The following is a 22,534-nucleotide window of genomic DNA, read 5'->3' as shown; positions in this document are numbered from 1 at the left end:
GTCTCGCTCTGTCACCCAGGCTGGAGTGCAGTGGCATGATCTCGGCTCACTGCAACCTCTGCCTCCTGGGTTCAAGCAATTCTCCTGCCTCAGCCTCCCAAGTAGCTGGGATTACGGGCATGTGCCAACACACCCAGCTAATTTTTGTATTTTTAGTAGAGATGAGATTTCACCATGTTGGGTAGGCTGGTCTCTAACTCCTGACCTCAGGTGATCCACCCGCCTCGGCCTCCCAAAGTGCTGGAGACCACTGTTTAACAAGAGAGGGACTCATGACCACACATGGAACGCTGATACTGACATGTGTCCACCTCTCTGGGGAGATGCCTCAGGATCTTTTTAGCTGGGGTGAATGCACGTTCCCAGGCAAGTTGGGGTTACAAGGGAGATGGTTTGCCCGGCACCTCTCTGAGTGAGGCATGTCTACAGGTTGTGTGAACACCCAATGTAGAGAGTCCCTCTCCGCAAGGCACACTCAGACCCACCACCCACGGGCTCAGGGGGCCTTGCTGTGGGCCGGGGCTGCAGGGAGCTCCCCATTGCTACTTCACCCAGACAGTCCAACACAGTCTCAGTGAGACCACGTCCTTCATGCCTCTAGGTATCTCCATGGGTCCAGAGGCTTCTGCCTGGGGTCACAGGCAAGATAAGTTGAGGGGGGACTCTGATTATCCCACCAAGCATGGCTTGCTTAAAACCTGGAGACAGGAGCTGGAGTGCTCCCGAGCAGGGCTCAGCAAACTACAGCCTGGGCGCCATACCCAGCCCAGTGTAGCCCCATCTGTTTCTGTAAATACAGCTTTATAAGAACACAGCCATGCCTCTTTGTTGACATGTTTGTCTGTGGCTGCTTTCTTGCTACTAGGACAGAATTGAACAGTTGTGACAGAGATCGCATAGCCCACAAAGCCAAAAATATTTACCACCTGGCTCTTTATAGAAAATGGGCTGGGTGCAGTGGCTCACGCCTCTAATCCCAGCACTTTAGGAGGCCCAAGCAGGGGGATCACTCGAGCTCAGGAGTTTGAGATCAGCTTGAGCAACATAGTGAGACATTCATCTCTCCAAAAATAAAACTAAATAAATAGCCAAGCATGGTGATGCACGCCTGTAGTCTCAGCTGCTCAGGAGGCTGAGACAGGACAATCACTTGAGCCTGGGAGTTTGAAGCTGCGGTGAGCTATGATTGCACCACTGCACTCCAGCCTGGACCACAGAGCAAGACTTTATCCCTAAAAAAAGGAAAAAAAGAACATGTTTGCCGACACCTGCCACTCTCTTGTACAAATAAGTAAATGCATTTACTTGCTCATCTAGACCAGTGGTTCACAATCAGTGTGAGTTTACCACCTGGGGACATTTGGCAATGTCTGGAGACATTTTTGTTTGTCACAACTGGGAAGGGGCATCTGGTGGGTAGAGGCCACAGATAACCACTCACCATTCAACAATCCGCAGGACAGCCCCACAACCAAGAACTGTCCAGCCCAAAACGTCGATAGGACCAAGGTGGAGAACCCACTCTAGGCCTATTACCTGGCTCCTGTTCTCCCTGGAGGCCCAGACCAGGTGCTTTCTAAGCTTGTTTGCCCTGTAACCGCTGGGCAGAATCAGATGACACCAGAGGGTCCTGTCCTGGGCATGGATGCCCCTCCAGGGTGCTTCGGTCAACCCCTTGCCTCCCATGGCCCACAAAAGTAAGGACTCAGGTGAGTGCTCACCACAGTGATCTGCCAGTCTCCCGGGGCCCCGGGCCTTTGCCCAAGGCTGGTACTACGAAGTCGCACAACAGTCAGACCAAACTCAGCAAAAAGTGACAAGCAGCTTTAATTCCCTAATGCAGTCTCCAATGGGGATTTACAGCAACACTGCAGGACCAGGAGATGCTGAGTGGCTCAGCCTCCTCGGCGCTTCGGGCGGCGACTCCACCCTCTTCCATGACAGTCTCTCCAAGGGGATGCGTGCCTCTGCTGTCTTCAGTTCAAGGGACACGTGTCCTGGCTGCAGTGGGTTCCATTTCTTCCTCCCACTCCCTCTCCCTCTCCTCCTTCTCCGAGCTGCGGGCCCCCATAGCACAGTAATACATAGCCTCGTCCTCAGGCTGCAGCTCAGAGATGCTCAAATACCCCCTGTTCCTGGCCACATCTTTGGATCCAGAGAAGCGAGGGGGGACCTGGGGGCCCTGGCTCTTGTCTGATTGTGAGAAATATCTCAGCAGGAACCTGGGAGGGTGGCCCGGCCTCTGCTGGTACCAGTAGACGCTGTACACACCGATGTCATGGTCGTTCCTCAGGGTGCAGGTGAGGCGGATTGTGGTTCCAAGGGCCGAGGACATGGCCGGCGGCTGATGCAGCACCGGCTGAGGACCACAACCTGGTGACACAGATGCATGTGGGCCGTGGGGGCAGGGCAGGATGAAGGAAGGGGCAGGAGTCTTTGGGATCTGGGGGTTCCCTCACCTGTGCAGTAGACAAACAGCATGAGCAGGACAGGAGCCCAGGACATGGTGCAGACATGCAGAGCTCTGACTCCTGTGGCCACGGTGCCTGGGGTCCCCAAGGGCTGGCCCAGCATCCTCCTCCCTGCTCTGAGAGGTGGGGCCGTGGCACACCCCGTTCCTGGCCACTACCATCCCAGACTTTCTTGGGTCTGCAACGTCGGTTACCGGAACAGCGTCGGGGCAGCATTTGTGGCTCTGATCTTGCCATATGGAAGCATTCAGGGAGGAAGCACCTGCTGGAGACTCTGGGGCCAGTGCCCTGGAGGCCTTTGGGTTAAGGTACCTCAGGGGTCGTGACCTCAACTTCCCCCTGAGGAAACCGCACCCCAGATAAATAAATTTTCTGTCTACATTTAAATGCTTGGTGAGCCAGGAAGGGAGGACACATCCTCGGGGGGTGAAAACACCTGCTTTGTACAGCAGAAGACACTGGGGGCCCAGAGCGGGTTGGGATGTTCTGCCCCTTCCATGTTGCAGCACTGCCTTCGGCCCATGCTCCTCTCCCTACTAGAACCAAGTAGAGTGACTCAGGCATGGGAAAGAAGCACCAGGGCCTGGTGCCTTCCCCACCCCTGTTCTGGCTCACCGAGCAGGTGCAGCTTGGCACTGTGATAGACTGAATTGCATCCCCCAAATCCATAGGTTGAAGCCCTAACCCCCAGTGTGCCTGTATTTGGAGATAGGGCCTTTAAGGAGTTAATGAAGGTTAGATGAGGTCATAGAGGTGGGGCCCCGGTCAGTACAACTGGTGTCCTTATAAAAAGGGGAAATTTGGGAGCCGGATGCAGTGTCTCACACCTATAATCCCAGCACTTTGGGAGGCCAAGGTGGGAGGATCACTTGAGCTCAGGAGTTCGAGTCTAGCCTGAGCAACATGGCAAAACCCCATCTCTACAAAAAAAATTTAAAAATTAGCTGGTCATGGCGGACAGGCACCTGCAGTCCCAACTACTTGGGAGGCTGAGGTGGGAAAATCACTTGAGCTTGGGAGGTTGAGTTGAGGCTGCAGCAAGCCAAGATCTCACCACTGCCCTCCAGCCTGGCCAACAGAGGGAGACCCTGCCTCAAAAAAAAAATGAGAATAAAAATAATACATTAAATGTATGTTTGCATACTACCTGCAAGATTTAAAAAAAAATTAAGGGGAAATTTGGACTTAAAGTCTCTGATCCCACATGCTCACCCTCCCTCAAAAAGCTGGAGTGTCTCCTCCCCTGGAACCTGTGCAGGCCTGTGATCAAGGCTGAAGTGTCCCTGGGTGCACGAGGTGGCACTGAGCAGCTGGGTGTGCACTGGGACTGTTTACTTGCAAACACTTTGATAGAGCAACCACCCCTGAGGCTCAGATGAGCCCCTGCTCGGTGTCAAGCTGCCCCACATCCATTCTCTGCCTGGTGAGGTGCAGGCTGCACCAGTTTCAGCCCGCAGGGTCGACTCTGGGAGCCCCACCCTTCTTCCCACTGCCTCTCTGGCCAACAGCTCCACTGCCCAGGTGAGGGCTGGGGAGGGCCTCTGCAGACACAGGATGTCTTGACCACTCTGTCCAGTAACAGCTGCAACCACATCTATGACCTGTTGCTCCTCCCTCCTCTGCACAGGCTGGTGGGCAGTGGGGAACTAACCAGTGACTGCTGACTCCTGGAGAGGAGAAAGGAAGCTTTTTTCACTCATTCATTCATTTATTCCCTCATCCAGTAGCTCATTCATGTGTTGTGCACGTATTTGTGAAAGAGAAATATACCTCCCAGACCCCTCCGAGAGCACCAGTCCTTGGGAATCAGGGCAGGAGAAGGTTCCACCTGTGGGCACCAGCACTACTGCAGTCCCTGAACTAGCCCTACCACTGACACTGTCAGAGCTTTTTGATCCTTTTAAGCTCAGAGAGGATAGGTGTTTCTACTTGCTCTTACAATTATACTTAGAGAGCAAATAAGCCCAGCCCTCAACCGTAGAGACACTCTGGTCCCAACTTTCTTTCACAGGCTTCACTGACCCAGGACCTTTGCATCACTCACAGAGCAAGATAGTATCCAGTGGTGACTGTGCGTGCTGGGGAATGACTGGGCCTTCCAGACCCTGCTGGAGATGGTCTCAGACCCCTGGAGCATCTAGAGTTAGATGCAGGTCATGCACTCTGAACTCTGCATTCTCCTGGCCCTGGGCCACTCTTCCCACCTCTGTTCCCTCAGCCTTGTCCTCAACCCACCAACACCTGGACTCAGGGATCATCTGCAGGGCACAGCAGTTTGATGGGATTGAAGAACACCATGTATTCAGTCCTTTCTGGCTGCACTCAACTCTTTTTAGATAATTCTAGACCAAGAGAAGGTTGGTGAGCTCTGTAACAGACCTCAAGGTCTACAAGGGTCTCAGGGGAGACAGGAGCTATTCAGTGCTCCTGCCTGGTTTGTAGATTTTTTTTTTTTTTTAGAGACAAGGTTTCACTCTGTTGTCCAGGCTGGAGTGTAGCGGTGCAGTCACAGCTCACTGCAGCCTCGAACTCCTGGGCTCAAACAATTCTCCTGTCCCAGCCTCCCAAGTAGCTGGGACTACAAGCACATGCTACCACACCCAGCTAATTTTTTTTACTTTTTGTGGAGACAGGGTCTTGCCATTTTGCTCAAGGCTGGTCTCAAATTCCTGCGTTCGAGAGATCCTCCTGCCTCAGCTTCCTAAAATGCTGGGATTACAGGTGTGAGCTACCCACCGCACGCCCGGCTGAATAGATATTTTAAACTGTTTCAGCGATCCACTGCTACGTGGCAAACCACCCGTAATGTAGTCATTTAAAACAAGACTTGATTAGTTCCCCAGTTCTGTGAGTTGCCTGGGTGGTTCTTCTGGTTCCACCTACAATCATGCATGTGGTTATGGTCATTGATGGCTGGACCACCTGCACTGGAGGTCTATCCAAGATTGCACTTCATTCTCCTACACATGGCTCTGATATTAGCAAGCTCTCACCCTCGGTGGTCTAGTGGTCCCTCTGGTCACCCATTCGTCCCATCTCCTTTCCTCCTCCCTCATGTCAGGGTCCCCCAGTCCCCGTCTCCCTCATTTCACATCCGAAGGCATGCTTACCTAGTGCCTTTCCACCCCTCTGCTCTCACATGGTGCTAAGCCAGGCTCGCACCAGTCTCCTTGTCACCACAGGACCTTTGCCCGTGATCCCAATGCCAGGATGAATTCCAGTCCCTCAGAACTAACCTCCTTCCTCCAGGTGCTCACTTCAGAGTCCCTTCCTGGGCAGCCTCCCCGACAGCCCCAGGTGAGTAGGCCTGCCCTGCTCTTCCTCTCTCATGGACTATGCTGCGTTTTGGTTTTGGTTTAGGTTTTTGTTTTGTTTTGTTTTGTTTTTTTGTTTGTTCGTTTTTTGAGACAGAGTCTTGCTCTGTCACCGAGGCTGGAGTGCAGTGGCGCAATCTCAGCTCACTGCAAGCTCCACCTCCCAAGTTCACGCCATTCTCCTGCTTCAGCCTCCCGAGTAGCTGGGACTACAGGCGCCCGCCACCACACCCTGCTAATTTTTTTTTGTATTTTTAGTAGAGACGGGGTTTCACTGTGTTAGCCAGGATCGTCTCGATCTCCTGACCTCGTAGTCAGCCCACCTCGGCCTCCCAAAGTGCTGGGATTACAGACGTGAGCCACCGCGCCCAGCCTTTCTTTTTTTTTTCTTAAGCAGGGTCTCTACCGCCCAGGCAGGAGAGCAGTGGTGTAATCTTAGCTCACTGCAGGCTTGAAACCCCCGGCCTCAAGCAGTCCTCCTGTCTTGGCCTCCCACAGTGTTGGGATTACAGACATGAGCCATCACGCCTGGCCTAACACTTGTTTCTGCCGGGGCATTTATCACAGGTTTTAACTGCACCTGTGCTTGTTTCTTCTCCTGTCCACAATCTCTATGAGATTGTTTCTGTTTAGTTCATCACTGAAAGTTCAACCTTTAGCTAATCTTTTTGGTTTGTTTGTTTTTTTTTGAGACAGTCTCACTCTGTCACCCAGGCTGGAGTGAAGTGGCACTATTTTGGCTCACTGCAACCTCTGCCTTCCAGGTTCAAGTGATTCTTGTGCCTCAGCCTCCCAAGTAGCTGGGATTACAGGCACATGCCACAATGCCCAGCTACTTTTTGTATTTTAGTAGAGACAGCATTTCACAATGTTGGCCAGGCTGGTCTCAAACTCCTGGCCTCAAGCGATCCTCCCGCCTTGACCTCCCACAGTGCTGAGATTACAGGTGTGAGCCACCATGCCCAGCCCAACCTTTAGCTTACCTAGTGTCTCCTGTGTACCACTAACTGTGAACAACAGGAATTTGAACTTCGTGTGTCCACTTATTTGCAGATTTTCTTATGCCTCTTTCGCCCCTGAGACTGTAAAACCAACCCCCTCCTCTTCCTCCTCCTCCTGTAGGATAATCCATCTGTTTCTACCTAATGAATAGTAAATAGATTTTATCTTCCTTAAGATTATCTTAATAACGTTTTCTTTTCTCTAGCTTACTTTATTATACGAATACAGTACAGGAAGGGTGCAGTGGCTCACGCCTGTAATCCCAGCACTTTGGGAGGCCGAAGCAGGTGGATCACTTGAGGTCAGGAGTTTGAGACTAGCCTGGCCAACATGGTGAAACCCCATCTCTACTAAAAATACAAAAATTAACCAGGCTTGGTGGCACATGCCTGTAATCCCAGCTACTTGGGAGGCTGAGGCAGGAGAATCACTTAAACCTGGGAGGTTGCAGTGAGCAGAGATGGTGCCACTTCACTCCAGCCTGGGCCACATAGTGAGACTCCATCTCAAAGAAAAAAAAATGCATACAGTACATAATACGTATAAAATTCAAAGTATGTGTTAATTGACTGTTGATATCATCAGTAAGGCTTCGAGTCAACAGCAGGCTATTAGTAGTTAAGAGTTTTGGGGGAGTCAAAATATATACATAGCCAGGCAGATTTTCAACTGAACAGGGGACTGGCTCCCCTAAACCCGACATTCCTCAAGAGTTTATTGTTCACTGTAGTATAACGGCATGAACGAACGAATGAAGGAATGCATGATGCCTCTCGTGTGGAGTGAAATGCTCACCCAGCACCTGGGCACACATACAGGGTGAGGGTAGTGAATACTGCCCGAGAGCTGTAGCAGTGGCAACACTAGCACTGCTCCCCACTCTTTAGCCTCTTGTTCTGCGGGGCCAGCTGGAAATTCTTACACAAGTCAGTTGGGTTCCTGAACCTCAGCTAATATGCGTATTACCCATGTCGAGGCCCTAGCCCACTGACAGGGGACCAGGCTCATGAGGCCATGGTGGAGATTAAGAATATGGATGTGGCTGGCCTTGGCAGTGCGTGCCTGTAATCCCAAAGCTTTGGGAGGCTGACGCAGCAGGATCACTTGAGACCAGAATTCGACACACTGTTCCTACCAAAAAAAAAAAAGTGGGTGACAACACAATGCTGTTATGAACTGAATGTTTGTGTCCTCCCAAAATTCATAAGCTGAAATCCTAAATGCCAGTGTGATGGTGCTCAGACATGGGACCTGTAGGAGGTAATTAGGTCATGAGGGCAGAACCTCACGAATGGGATGAGTGCCTTTACAAAAGAGGCCCTGCTGGGCACGGTGGCTCGTGCCTGCAACCCCAGCACTTTGGGAGGCCAAGGCAGACACATGACTTCAGGCCAAGAGTTCAAGACCAGCCTGGCAAACATGGTGAAACCCGGTCTCTACTAAAAATACCAAAATTAGTCGGGCATGGTCACACACGCCTATAGTCCCAGCTACTCGGGAGGCTGAGACACGAAAATTGCCTGAACCCGGGAGGCGGAGACTGCAGTATACCAAGATCATGCCACTCACACCACTACACTCCAGCCTGGGCAACAGAGTGAGACTCTGTCTCAAAAAAAAAAAAAAAAAATCCCAGAGATCTTTTTAGCCCTTTTTCTGCCACACGAAGACACGAGAAGTTGGCAGTCTGTAGCCTGGAAGAGGATTCCTACCAGAACTGAAGCATGCTGGCACCCTGATCTCAGACCTGTCCTATCTTGGACATCCAGCCTCCACAACTCTGAGGAATGCATTTCTGGTGTTTTCAAGCCACCCAGTCTACAGTATCGGTATTTACAATAGCAGCTCAAGCTGAGACAATCTCCTACATGACCTCTAACAAGAGCTACTAAAAATCTACCTTCTGTCCACACGAAAATTATCTGGGTCCATTCTAGCAAGCATCATCAAAAACCTTCATACGGGGCCGGGCGCGATGGCTCACGCCTATAATCCCAGCACTTTGGGAGGCCAAGGCAGGCGGATCACGAGGTCAGGAGATCGAGACCATCCTGGCTAACACGGTGAAACCCCATCTCTACTAAAAATACAAAAAAATTAGCCAGGCGTGGTGGCAGGTGCCTGTAGTCCTAGCTACTCGGGAGGCTGAGGCAGGAGAATGGCATGAACCCAGGAGGCGGAGCTTGCAGTGAGCCGAGATCGCACCACTGCACTCCAGCCTAGGCGACAGAGCGAGACTCCAACTCAAAAAAAAAAAAAAAAAAAAAACCTTCACATGGGTGGGAGTGACCGAGAACTGATTGCCTAGAGCCTCAGAGTGGAAGAAGTGTGATAAAAAGGGAGGAGTTGCCCCATCTCTGAGGTGGGGACTGGGAAGGGAAGGGAGGAATGTTCTCTAAGGGAAACATCACGGGGGAGAGAATGAAGGGAGGGGCATGATTTGTTTTTCACTTAAAAAAAAAAAAGTCCACTGCTGCACATAGATCACATAGAAGCAACACAAGGGGAAGCATTTCACAATAAATTCATCAACATTCGGATAGATCTACACTTTTAAACAGTATTCTGTCATAAGACTATGGACAAGATGGTCCCAGACTTACAATGATTGGACTTACAGTTTTTCTACTTGATTACAGTGCAAAATTGAGATGCATTCAGTGGGAACTGTTCTTCAAACACTGGCAGTGGCAGTGAGCCGCAGCCCTACTCAGCTACACATTGTGTGTTCTTTTAAAAATAAGGTCTCATTATGTTACCCAGACTGGAGCATAGTGACACCGTCATAGCTCACTTCAGCCTCGACATCCTGGGTTCAAATGATCCTCCTGCCTCAGCCTCCCAAGTAGCTGGGACCCCAGGCATGCAGCACCACAACTGGCTAATTTTTTAATTTTTTGTGGAGATGGGGGTCTTGCTTTGTCGCCCAGGCTGGTCTTGAACTCTTGAGCTCAAGTGATCCTCCTGCCTCAGCATCCCAAAGTGTTGGGATTATAGGCATGAGCCATAGCTCCTGGCCCAGCTACACATTTTTTATTTATGATGTTTTCAACTTAACAATGTGCTTATTGGTACATAACACAAGAAGTCAAGGAATATCTATAAATACAATGATATCAAATCTCATTTCAAACCCAAAGAGTCATAAATTAACAACGTAAAAGTAGGTAAACTTTTTAAATTTTGTATTTTAACTTGAATTTTAAACAATTGTCATCATAGATATTTGTGGATGTTGTGCAATAACACTATAGATCAATAAAATACATTTTAGGAAATTCTGGTGGTTATAATTTTTTTTCACATCAGGCCATATTTACTCTTTTTTTTTTTTTTTTGAGACAGTCTCACCCTGTCGCCCAGGCTAGAGTGCAGTGGCGTTATCTCTGCTCACTGCAAGCTCCGCCTCCCCGGTTCACACCATTCTCCTGCCTCAGCTTCCCAAGTAGCTGGGACTACAGGTGCCCGCCACCATGCCTGGCTAATTTTTTTGTATTTTTTAGTAGAGACAGGGTTTCACCGTGTTAGCCAGGATGGTCTCGATCTCCTGACCTCGTGATCCACCCGCCTCAGCCGCCAAAGTGCTGGGATTACAGGCGTGAGCCACCGCGCCTGGTGGCCATATTTACTCTTTACTTCCCCTGGACCTGTGTAAATATTTGAGTATGTGGCTCATGGCACAGGACAACGTTATTTGCTGTTTTTTTTTTTTTTAGACAGAGTCTTGCTCTTATCACCCAGGCTGGAGTGCAGTGGCATGATCTTGGCTCACTGCAACCTCCGCCCCCAGGGTTCAAGAGATTCTTCTGCCTCAGCTTCCCAAGTAGCTGGGACTACAGGCGCGCGCCACCACGCCCAGCTAATTTTTTTTGTATTTTTAGTAGAGACGGGGTTTCATCACGTTGGCGAGGCTGGTCTCGAACTCCTGAGCTCAGGGGATCCACCTGCCTCGGCCTCCCAAAGTACTGGGATTACAGGCTTGAGCCACCATGCCCTGCCCATTATTTGCCTTTTAACACAACCATTCTGATAGACGTTTTGATTGGTCTCTGAACCCTGAAAGAGCCGATTCCTCAAGATGAATCCTGGGCCTGAATTTAAATTTGAGACAAGTGGTTATTTGCTGACCAGAGGTCACACACATACTTTGAGTTTCTGGAGAAACTTTGGGACTTACATAGCTGCCTGTTCCTGTTTACGCCACCAGTAGACTGTGACCTGCTTTGACTAATCAGAACCCAGCTAGAGCCAAGTAATCAGAACTAAAAAGTTTGAATCTTTCATTTGCATAAGCAGACCTGAGTGGGATTCTGAGCGGGAATTTTCTCTAGAAAAGACAAAGCCTCCCCTTGTTCTCTGGAATGTAACTTCCTTTTGTACCAAAAGTTGTGTCTCTTGGGTTTGCAAACTGTAACTGTTCACTGGAATAAGTCTCTTTCCTCTAAATTCCTTTTCAGAGAACTTTTTTTCAAAAGTCCAACAGAAGAAGTGAAAAAAATCAATCGGTCATACATTTGAACCATAGCCCCAAATCCAATCAGGGTTAGTCGTGGGCAAAGAATGTGGAAGTGATTAAACTTCCTCCTCTTTTTATCAAACAATGGACCTAATCAGGTTAATCTCATCAGGGTGTATTAGAGGAGCTTCCAAGGGGGTGATTCCTTGGAAATCAGACCCTCCAGAACTCCAGCTTATCATTCTCTGCTGATGGGCCAGGCTTCCATGACATCCAGCCAGCAGGAGGCAGTATTCCCCAAGTTCACTTAACCTTCAGCTTTTCATAATGTGAGAAACAGTCTCGCCCATCCCAACCCAAAGAATGGACTCAGAGACCCGGAGAACAGTGAAAGTGAGACTTTTAATGACAGTCTTGCAAGATCAGGTGTCTGACAGGCACACCCAGCACACTTTCAACAAGCAGTTTATCCCCTAGTGCACAGGTCCCTCCCCCAGTTCCTCATAGGCTGAGTACTACGGGGTCATAATCTTCTCGCCTGTTGATTGTTGGGTGGGAGCGCCAGGAGTTTTTTGTTTTTTGTTTATTTTAGGGTCGTTTTGCTGCATTTTGTTGCAGCCCACAATGCATTGTAATCTTAGTTAGCTTAGGGGCTCTTCAAGTGTTAGACTTATGACCTAAGTAGCTGGGCAGGCTAAGAACAGACAAAACAAGCTACTTTGCAGGCTAGTAAACTTTCATCTTAGACTAAACTACTTTGGTTCAGGTGAAGGCAACTAAGGGGCGAAGGTGGGGAAGGGGGAGGCTGACAAGCAGGCATTGGCTGGCTATCCAAGCAGGGACCTAGTGTATCATGTTTCTTCTGTAGGTTGCTGACCTAAGCCAATTCAAAGCATTTTGTCTTAGAAACGGACCACTGTAGGCTGGGTGCAGTGGCTCACACCTGTAATCCCAGCACGCACTTTGGGAGGTCGAGGCAGGTGAATCACGAGGTCAGGAGTTTGAGACCATCCTGGCCAGCATTGTGAAACCCCATCTCTACTAAAAATACAAAAATGACCTGGGCATGGTGGTGCGTGCCTGTAATCCCAGCTACTTGGGAGGCTGAGGCAGGAGAATCGCTTGAACCAGGGAGTCGGAGGTTGCAGTGAGCCGAGATCACGCCACAGCACTCAAGCCTGGCGACAGAGAAAGACTCCGTCTCAAAAAAAAAAAAAAAAAAAAAAAGAAATTGACCACTGTATACGTTATTTCCTTCAATAAGGAATTGGGTTGACCAAGGTCCTTGTTCCCAAAGTACCATTTTCCCGGGTTGTTTGTTTTTCTGTTTGTTTGTTTGTTTGTTTGTTTTGATACAGTCTTGCTCTGTCGCCCAGGCTGGAGTGCAGTGGTACAATCACAGTTAACTGCAGCCTTGACCTCCTAGGCTAAAACAATCCTCCCATGTCAGCATCCCAAATAGCTGGGACTACAGCTACATGCCACCATGTCCAACTAATTTTTGTATTTTTTGTAGAGATAGGGTCATGCCACGTTGCCCAAGCTATTCTCAAACTCCTGGGCTCAAGAGATTCTCCCGTCTTGGCCTCCCAAAGTGTCGGGATTACAGGTGTAAGCTCCCACTCCCTACCTTTTCTGGTATTTAGATACAAATAGGATATAAAAATACCTCCCTCCTCCTCTCTTTCTCTCATTTAAATTACTACTAAGAGTCAGATCTCAACACTTCCTGTCTGCAGAGAATTGAGGAAACATAATTCCAATCTGAGGACCAAACCTTAGAGGGTGGAAATTGAAGAAGTCTGTGGCTACCCTGAGGTCCTGGCTGGACTCCCCCCATCCAACTCATTGCAACGTGTGCCAACCATAAGGACCTAGAATCTGAGAAATGGGTGAATGAGATCATTTGATGTGGGCATTTCTCTAATCCCCTTTTGTAAACTCGGGTTTACAAACTCAGATGCCTGCAATGATCACCTAGGGAAGCAAGTAGAAGAGAGGACTAGAAGGGATTGTGGTAATGGGGAGACCCTGTCTGAATGGGGAGGCAGCTTCCCAGTAGAGGCCTAGAGTTCTTAACTTGGTTTTTAGGAGAAAAACATCTCAGGAGAAATTGGAACTTGGGTTTTTATATGACCTGTTCTTTGGTCTAACCTGTTAGGGCTGCTCTGTGAGACTCTCTGGTAAGAGCAGACACTGTGAATGTGCATAGCCCCTCCTCCCATGAAGCTTAGAGTCTAGTGGGGAATCTTGTGGGAGTCTAGCGGGAAAATAATGACAACAACATTTTTTTTATTGTTTTGTTTTGGTTTTGTTTGGTTTTGTTGTTGTTTTTTTTGGAGACAGAGTCTCCCAGGCTTCAGTGCAGTGGTGCAATCTCAGCTCACTGCAACCTCCGCCTCCCAGGTTCAAGCAATTCTCCTGCCTCAGCCTCCCGAGTAGCTGGGACTACAGGCACACACTGCCATGCCCGGCTGATTTTTTATATTTTAATAGAGACGGGGTTTCACCATGTTGCCCAGCTGGTCTCAAACTCCTGAGCTCAGGCAATCCACCTGCCTCGGCCTCCCAAAGTGCTGGGATTACAGGCGTGAGCCACCGCACCCAGCCAACAACATGTTTTAATAAGTGTCATAAGAGAGAATGTCCAGGCACCTGGTCTGGAATACGTAGTTTTCAAAGGACCCCTGACAAAGGAAAAAAATAGGATGACAGCTGAACAGTGGGAAGGGCCCAGCCCCAATACACAATTTGCCGGCAGTGTATGAACTAGGCAGAGATGCGGTGTGTGGGAAGGCTGTGTTTCAGGAGAGAGCTTGGTGTGTGTTTGGAAATAGAAGAAGGCCAGTGTGGCTGAGGCCTAGAGAAACAAGGAGGAGAATGTCTCAATTTAGGCTAGAGAAAGAGGCCGTTACTAAGGGGGATGCCCCCTGTAGGATCATGGTGATGGGGGACCTGCTTTAATTTGGTGGACAGAGGTCTAGGAATACTACACATTCAGGAATTCTCAACACTGTTCCACCAGCCTAGAACCATCTTCCATCTGAATCAGTTCTCAAGTGCCCCACCCAAAGTTCTTATGTTAGAAAACCTATTGACAACTATATGAGTCTACAACTTATTTCCACTTTACATATAATCTTAAAACAATTGCTTGTGATGTTTCTATATACACTGAATTTTCTTTTACTGCAACAACCATGTAAAAAGAGAGACACTGTAGTGTAGTAAAATGGAGCCAGGCAAAGCTGTGCACACCTGTGGTCTCAGCTACTCGGGAGGCTGAGGCAGAATCACCTCAACTCCAGCTGAGGAGTTGGAAGCTGTAGTACACTCTGATCACACATGTGAATAGCCATTGCACTCTAGCCTGGGCAACATAGCAAGACCCTGTTTCTTTAAAAAATAAAAAAAACATAAAATACACATAACATAAAACTTACCACCTTATCCATTTTTTTTTTTTTTTTTTTGAGACAAGGTCTCACTCTGCCACCTAGGCTGGAGTATAGTGGCATAATCACAGCTCACTGCAGCCTCAATCTTTTAGGCTCAAGTAATCCTTTCACCTCAGCCTCCCAAGTAGCTGGGACCACAGACATGCACCATCATGCCCAGCTAACTTTTTGTGGAGACAGGGTCTTGCTACATTGCCCAGGCTGGTCTCAAACTCCTGGGCTCAAACAATCCACCCACCTCAGCCTCCCATGGTGCTGGGATTATAGGTGTGAGCCAACGCACCCAGTCTCACCATTGTTTTTTTTAAAGATACGGCTTCACTATGTGTTGCCCAGGCTGGAGTGCAGTGGTGTGATCACAGCTCACTGCAGCCTCGAACATCCAGACTCAAGCAGTCCTCCCACCTGAGACTCCCAAGTAGCTGGGACTACAGGTGTGCACCACCACACCTGGTGAATTTTTTTAAAAATGTTTTGTAGAGACAGAGTCTTGCTATGTTGCCCAGGCTGGTCTTGAACTCCTCGGCTCAAGCAGTCCTCTGCCCTGGCCTCCCAATGTGCTAGGATTACAGGCATGAGCCACCATGCCCAGGCAACCGTTTTTAAGTGTACAGCTCAGAAGCATGAAGTACATTCACATCGTTGTCCAACTAATCCAGAACTTTTTTATTTGGCAAAACTAAAACTCCATGCCATTAAACAACTCTCCATTTCCCTCTCCCCTCAGCCCCTGGAAACCACCATTCTACTCTGTCTGTAGGAATTTGACTACTCTAGGTACCTCATGTAAGTGGAATCATACAGTGTTTGTCCTTTTGTGGACCGGTTTGTTTTGATTAGTGTCTTAGTGAGGTCGGGCTGCCATAACAAAGTACCATGGTCTGGGTGGTTTATAAACAACAGACATTGATACCTCATGGCTCTGGAGGCTGGAAGTCCAAGATGAAGGGCCAGCATGGTTGGGTTCTGGTGAGGGCCCTCTTTCATTCACAGACTTCTGACTTCCTGTTGTATTGTTACATGGCAGAAGGGGTAAGAGGGGCCTCTGGAATCCCTTTTATAAGGTCACAACTCCCATCATGGGAGCTCCACCCTCATGACCTAATTATGTCCCAAACTTTGAATCTAATAATCCCATACCCTAATACCATCAGCTTGGGGGTTGGGATTTCAACATATGAATACAGTGAGGTAGGGGGTGGGTACCCTTAGTATATATAAAGTCTTCAAAGTTCCTGCATGTAGCATGTGTTGGAATTTCCTTCCTTTTTAAGGCTGAATTGTGTGGAGAGACCACATCTTGTTGATCCATTCATCTGTCGATGGACATTTGGGTTGCTTCTACCTTGTGGTTTTTGTGAATAAGGCTGCTGTGAGCATGGGCGTTCAAATCAATGTTGTATTTGATTTGGTTTAGTTAGAACCATGAGAATTTGTTCCAAAAAATCACAACCATGACAGCAAAGTTCTTGTGATAATTATCCCAAGTGGATATTTTTATTTATTATCACTTATTTATTTATTATTATTACTATTATTTATTACTATTATTATTTTGGAGACTGGATCTCGCTCTGCCACCCAGGCTGGAGTGCAGTGGTGTGATTACAGTACACTGAGGCCTTGAACTCCTGGGCTCAAGCAATCCCCCGACCTCCACCTCCAGAGATGCTGAGATTACAGGCACACAATCAACTTGGCCAGCTAATTTTGTGAGTTTTTTTGTAGAGATGGGGGTTTCACTGTGTTGCCCAGGCTGATCTCAAATGCCTGGACTAAAAGCAATCCTCCTGCCTCAGCCTCCCAAAGTGCTGGGACTACAAGTGTGAGCCACTGTACCCAGCTAATATTTTTTTAATGTGGTAAAATATACATAACATAAAATTCAGCATTTTAACCATTTTTTGGTATGCAGTTCGGTAGCATTGAAAGTAGCCACATTGTCATGCTACATCACCACCACCCATCTCCGGAATGATTTATCTTTTGAAGGGACTGAGGAGCTGGGAGCACTGATTGCAGGAAGGATCTCATGAGGACTCAGCTGGAGGAAGTTGGGCACTGCAGTCGCCATGACTGGGGGCAGCAGCCTGAGCAGTGCCGACCACAGCGCACACGCAGAACCAGGAGCCATGGAGCCCCACCGTGTGCCCCACCGTGCAGCCTCCTCGGCCACCTTCAAACAGCTGCATCCTCAACAGGTTATGAGGCCCCAAGGAGAACAGGAAAAGATGATCTCTAGGTGCCAAGATGAAATTGCACACTGGCAAAAGGTAAAGGGGGACTGTAATACCCTCCAAGAGCGACTCCAAACCTTGCCCAATAGGCTGTCTTACGAGCTCATGGTGCCAACTGGGCCTCTTGCCTTCTATACCAGGAAGGCTTGTGGATACCAGCAAAATCACTCTTCTCCTCGGGGACAACTGGTTTTGCCAGTGCTCTGCAAAGCAAGCAGTGGGGTTAGTGGAGCATAGGAAGGAGTGTGTGAGGAAAGCACTACATGACTTTACAAAAGCCAGGAGAAACTTTGAATCTAAAGTTGCATTCACAGCAGATCTGCAGGGATGGGGTGATGGGGATGGAGATCTTGTTGACCTAAGAAAACATGTTCAAAACAAGTCTGAATTAAAGAGAAAACCCTGGATTGCACATAAACCTGATTCAAAATCCAAAACCTCAGGTTTTGAAAATGATCTCAAGTCCAAGGATGCTTACTTACAAATGAGGAACTGTGGGCTCGACTGGAAGAACTGGAGAGGCAAGAAAACCTGCTGGGTGAACTCAACCATGATCCTGGGATGGAGTTCACAAACAGAGGGGAAGGGGCTGGGTGCAGTGCCTCATGCCTGTAATCCCAACACTTTGGGAGGCCAAGGCAGACAGATCACAACATCAGAATTTCGAGACCAGCCTGGCCAATATGGTGAAACCCCGTCTCTACTAAAAATAAAAAAAATTGGCCGGGCATGGTGGCGGGCACCTGTAGTCCCAGCTACTCGGGAGGCTGAGGCAGGAGAATCGCTTGAACCTGGGAGGTGGAGGTTGCAGTGAGCCGAGATCACGCCACTGCACTCCAGCCTGGGCAACAGAGTGAGACTCCATTTCAAAAAAGAAAAAAAAATGGAGGGGAACAGGGAAAAGGTGGGATCTCTGATGAGACTATGGGCTTCCGTACTTGGGGGAATTTTCATAAGGACATTTTAAAGTCAAAACTAATGCAAGGTCGAAGGCAAGGTCAAGGGAATGATTCCAAGCACCATCCCCACTCTGAACACTGCAATGATGGCAGTTCAGGAGATGAAGATGAGTCTTCACCAACAATCTATTTTTCCCACACCACTGAACCCAGAAAGGTCCATATAGATACGGAAAAAAACAGGACATTAGTTTTCAGTGAAAGGAAAGAGGGAGCTAGACATGCCTGGGACCTGAACCCTGGAGACGGTCAGTTTGTCCTGGGTCACCCCGTTATCAGAACACTGGTGGATATTTACAGAATATTTGTGAGCCCTGCAAATGAGGAGCATGGCCCTCAGAAGTCCACCATGAGAGCAGGATGCAGAAAGACCCTCGTATGGAGTGGCGCTGGAGAGACGCAAACCACTGGCCATGACGATCCAGGGGTTTCGATGAACCCTGGCTGTGAAGCAGCCATTTGCAGAGAGACTGAAAAATCCTCTGGAGAAGAAAGAAGAAAGAGGACATCCTCAGCCAGAGCTCTCACCCTCACCAGGAACAGGAGAGTCTTTTCCTGGGATTGTGGTAGAAAAATAATTCTTACCTCCATCTCTGATGCCACACCATGCCTCTGTTCTCAGGTGTCACCTACCTTCCCAGAGAGAAAAGATGCTGTGTCAGAAGAAGCTCCAAAGAGGATTTCCAAATTCAAAGCTGCCGGACTAAATCTGAGACACTAGGTCCTGTCGTGATATGCAGGTGCATTCCTCCAGGCCAAGGGTGTTTGTTTAGAACATGAAATTCAAGATGACTCCATAGTGCCTGGGACAACACATCGTGGGTTAACTCATCTGTGCTATGAAAAGAATTAAATACATTTCGCACACTTTAGTATTCAGAATTTGTTGTTGGTTGTCTTTCATAAGATTAGCATCACTGGGCGCGGTGGCTCATGCCTGTAATACCAGCACTTTGGGAGCCTGAGGCAGGTGGATCACCTGAGGTCAGGAGTTCAAGACCAACCTGGGCAACATGGAGAAACCCCTCTCTACTAAATACACAAAAAGTAGCCGGGCGTGGTGGCGCATGCCTGTAATCCCAGCTACTTAGGAGGCTGAGGCAGGAGAATTGCTTGAATCTGGGAGGCGGAGGTTGTGGTGAGCTGAGATCAGGCCACTGCACTCCAGCCTAGGCAACAACAACAACAACAAAAAGATCAGCATCTTGGCCAGCAGTGGTGACTCAATGCCTGTAATCCTAGCACTTGGGGAGGCCAAGACAGGAGGATTGCTTTAGCTCAGGAGTTTGAAACCAGCCTGAGCAACATAGTGAGACCGCATCTCTAAAAAAAAAAAAAAAAAAAAAAAAAAAAAAACAAACAAACAAAAAAAAACTATTTGTATTTGCTAATCCTCTCTGTATCATTCCAAGCAAGCACTTTGAAGAATTTTGATCATGTTCATGATTCTTGTGTTTTAACCCAAATGAAGCCCCATTTTTTAAGCAATAGTTACTTTGATACTCTTCATTCAATATGGGTATTTTAAAGAAAATCTTAAAGTTAAAATTTCAAATACATTTCACAATTCTCTTTCATTTACAAATATATTGTTGTAATTTTTGCCACTTAAAAATTCCAAATAATCACTCAAACTGTGGTGAACTCTAAAAAGAAAGCTGTGACTGGGTGTGGTGGCTCACCCCTGTAATCCCAGTACTTTGGGATGCCGAGGTGGGGGTATCACTGGAGCCTAGGAGCCTGACACCAGCCTGGGCAACATAGTGAAACCCTGTATCTACAAAAAAAATACACAAATTAGCTGGGCATGGTGGAGCATGCCTGTGGTCCCAGCTAGTCAGGAGGCTGAGGTGGGATGGCCTGAGCCTGGGAGATCATGGCTGCAGTAAGCCAAGATCATACCACTGCACTCTAGCCTGGGCGACAGAGTAAGACCCTGTCTCAAAAAAAAAAAAAAAAAAAAAAGAGAGAGAGGCTGGGGACAGTGGCTCATCGTGTAATACTAGCACTTTGGAGGCCAAGGTGGGCAGATTATCTGAGGTCAGGAGTTTGAGACCAGCCAGGCCAACATAGTGAAATCCTGTCTTTACTAAAAATACAAAAAAATTAGCTGGGCGTGGTGATGCATGCCTGTAGTCCCAGCTCCTCAGGAGGCTGAGGCATGAGAATCACTTGAAACCAGGAGGCAGAGATTGCAGTGAGCCAAGATCGTGTCACTGCATTCCAGCCTGGGTGACAAAGCGAGACTCAGTCTCAAAAAAATAAAAGAAGAAGAAAGCTGGAACCTCAGAAGAGAGATTTTTTAAAATAATTGTTTACAAATAAGTTTGTATATGTGTGTGTGTAGAGAGAGAGAAGAATTGGTGAGACTTGGCATAGGATGGGCTGTTGAGTAAGAGAGAGGACCCAAGGGTAATCCAAGGTCCTTGAATGGGAGCTGAAGTACTTGTGGAGTCATTTACTAAGATGGGAATGTCGGGGAGAGGATAGAAGTAGAAAGGCCAATAGCCTGGCAGTAGGAGTTATAAAAGGAGATAAAAAATAGAGCAATGAATATTTGAGGAATTAATAGAGCTCTTCACAGCCATTTTAAGTCTTTTGTCATCAGAGATGGTTGTTTTACTCCGACGCTTTTCTGAAAGCTCTGGCAACCAGCTACGGGCCAAAGTGCTTCATCTTCAATAAGAAGGGACTGTCTCAGGGATAGACAGGATGGCCTATGGCAGGTATTCTGGGGTACAGGCTTTTGGTGGCATTGCTTGAATAACTTTGAAACCACAGCCCTGCACTGAGCCAGATCTCCAGAACACTGGTTGAGAAACACGTGAGTTCATGTAACTGCTGACCCAAAATCAAGCAGAACAAGAATTAAGTGCATGGAACTTAATAAACTGGAAGCTGGGTCTCCCCTAGAAATTTGGGGTTCTAGTGCTGCTGCTCAACCATCAGGGGTCACTGGACTGTTTGGGGTGATTGATCCAGACTGCTGGAGAAAAGTCAGGGTTTTTTCTTTTCTTTTTTTTTTTTTTTTTTTGGTGTTTTTGAGACAGAGTCTTGCTCTGTTGCCCAGGCTGGAGCACAGTGGCACGATCTCGGCTCACTGCAGCCTCTGCCTCCTCCCAGGTTCAAGAGATTCTTGAGTCTCAGCCTCCCAAGTAGCTGGGACTACAGGTGTGTGCCACCATGCCCCGCCAGGGTTGTTTTTTTTTGTTTTTTTTTTTTTCTTTTTTTGTATTTTTAGTAGAGACGGGGTTTCTTTATGTTGACCAGGCTGGTCTCAAACTCCTGACCTCAAGTGATTTACCCACCTCGGCCTCCCAAAGTGCTGAGATTACAGGCGTGAGCCACCGTGCCCGGCCAACACCCTCATATATATTGATAGAGTTATTTGGATTGAGGCCTCTAAAATCTTAAGTCACTGATTTTCCTTAATCCCCTGAGCCTGCAGAAGTGGACTAAACTCAGCCTATTCAGAGCTAAACTCCTTTGTTTGCAGAGGCCTCTCTCACTAGGACAAAATATGCCTTCTTCACCATCTTGCCCAATTTCCCTCTTGGCCTAGAACTAGGGTTAAGTCCCAGCACAACACAGCAGGAGATGTGCTCATTTTGAGAAGAGAGAAAAGGCTGGGTGAGGTGCCTCACATCTGTAACCCCAGCACTTCAGGAGGCTCACGGGGATAAGGAAAATCAGGAGGATCACTTGAGCCTAAGAGTTTGGGGCAGGAAGATCACTTGAGCCTAGCAGTTTGAGACCAACCTGGGCAACATAGCGGAACATTCACTTCTACAAAAAAAAAAAAAAAATTTTTTTTAATTAGCCAGGCTTGGCGGCTCACACATGTAGTCCCAGCTACTCAGGAGACTGAGACATGAGGATCACTTGACCCCAGGAGGTCAAAGCTGCAGTGAGCCATGATCATGACACTGCACTCCAGTCTAGGGGACAGAAAAGACCCTGTCTCAAAACATTTTTTAAAAGGGGAAGAAAAGGGACTACACACCAGAGGAGCCATAAGACCTAACCAGCAGGTACCAGCAGGAGTCAAGGGACTAGGCATGGGACTGGATCATGAGGGTGGGTGATAGAGGGGGACCAGAACATGAAGATTAGATAAGGGTGAGTTTTATTGATGTGGGAGCATTCTGCCATCTGAGCACCCCACAAAATATCCCATTGATTGACTGTGTTGTTGACATCATGCTAGTTGAGTTAGTTTAGTAGGAAATGGCTAGCATGTTGGAGGCCTTCATAAGAAACATGCACTATAAAGGGTAGGAGATAATCTGTATGAAGATTCAGGGAACTGTCACGTGAGTACAGTTTTGAGTGCCTAAGTGGTCAAGGCAGGATGGGTCAGATCGTCCAAACATAATGCCTGGCAGAACTCTTCAGGTTTTGGGAACAGCATGTTCCACTTCTGGCCTATGTCGTTGGTCTACAGAAGGCTGCCACCTTTGAATGCAGCCTGGCGTAGAAAAGTCATCTGCTGCCTGACAAGGCTGCAGTGAAAACAGCCCTGCTGCTTGGGCCATAAGACTCGGCAGAATTTAGGGGACTGGAGGGGTCGGTGGTAAGAAAAGATGCCATGTGGAATTTGCAGTGAGCTCCAGTGGGAGAATCACAGCACAGGCCCT

General features: G+C 48.1%; 1 protein-coding gene, 1 pseudogene and 1 further gene across 2 annotated transcripts; 1 reads left to right on the top strand and 2 right to left on the bottom strand.

Annotated features, from left to right (window-relative positions):
- Positions 1 to 22,534, bottom strand: part of IGL (immunoglobulin lambda locus) — an 896,838-nt gene that overhangs the window by 675,595 nt on the left and 198,709 nt on the right.
- On the bottom strand, positions 1,804 to 2,533 carry VPREB1 (V-set pre-B cell surrogate light chain 1). Of its 2 annotated transcripts, none has more exons than NM_007128.4 (2): positions 2,460 to 2,533; positions 1,804 to 2,373 (listed from the first exon to the last, which is right to left on the bottom strand). In NM_007128.4, exons 1-2 carry the CDS (start codon positions 2,503 to 2,505, stop codon positions 1,982 to 1,984), a joined length of 438 nt encoding a protein of 145 aa, NP_009059.1. In that variant the 5' UTR covers positions 2,506 to 2,533; the 3' UTR covers positions 1,804 to 1,981. The 2 variants fall into 2 exon arrangements, with proteins under 2 accessions (NP_009059.1, NP_001290438.1); NM_001303509.2 differs by having other exon boundaries at positions 1,804 to 2,359.
- On the top strand, positions 16,900 to 18,609 carry LOC100533679 (URI1, prefoldin-like chaperone pseudogene; annotated as a pseudogene).

Source organism: Homo sapiens, chromosome 22 (genome assembly GCF_000001405.40).
Source record: "Homo sapiens chromosome 22, GRCh38.p14 Primary Assembly".
In the NCBI taxonomy this organism is placed as follows: Eukaryota; Metazoa; Chordata; class Mammalia; order Primates; family Hominidae; genus Homo; species Homo sapiens.
This window is presented reverse-complemented; position numbering and strand designations above follow the sequence as displayed.

What these genes read in the sequence shown, in the direction of transcription:
- VPREB1 (NM_007128.4), bottom strand. Translation starts at nt 2,505, where the DNA reads ATGTCCTGGGCTCCTGTCCTGCTCATGCTGTTTGTCTACTGCACAG. An exon ending in GCTGTTTGTCTACTGCACAG is followed by an intron (nt 2,374 to 2,459) that starts GTGAGGGAACCC and finishes CTGTGTCACCAG; the next exon opens with GTTGTGGTCCTCAGCCGGTG.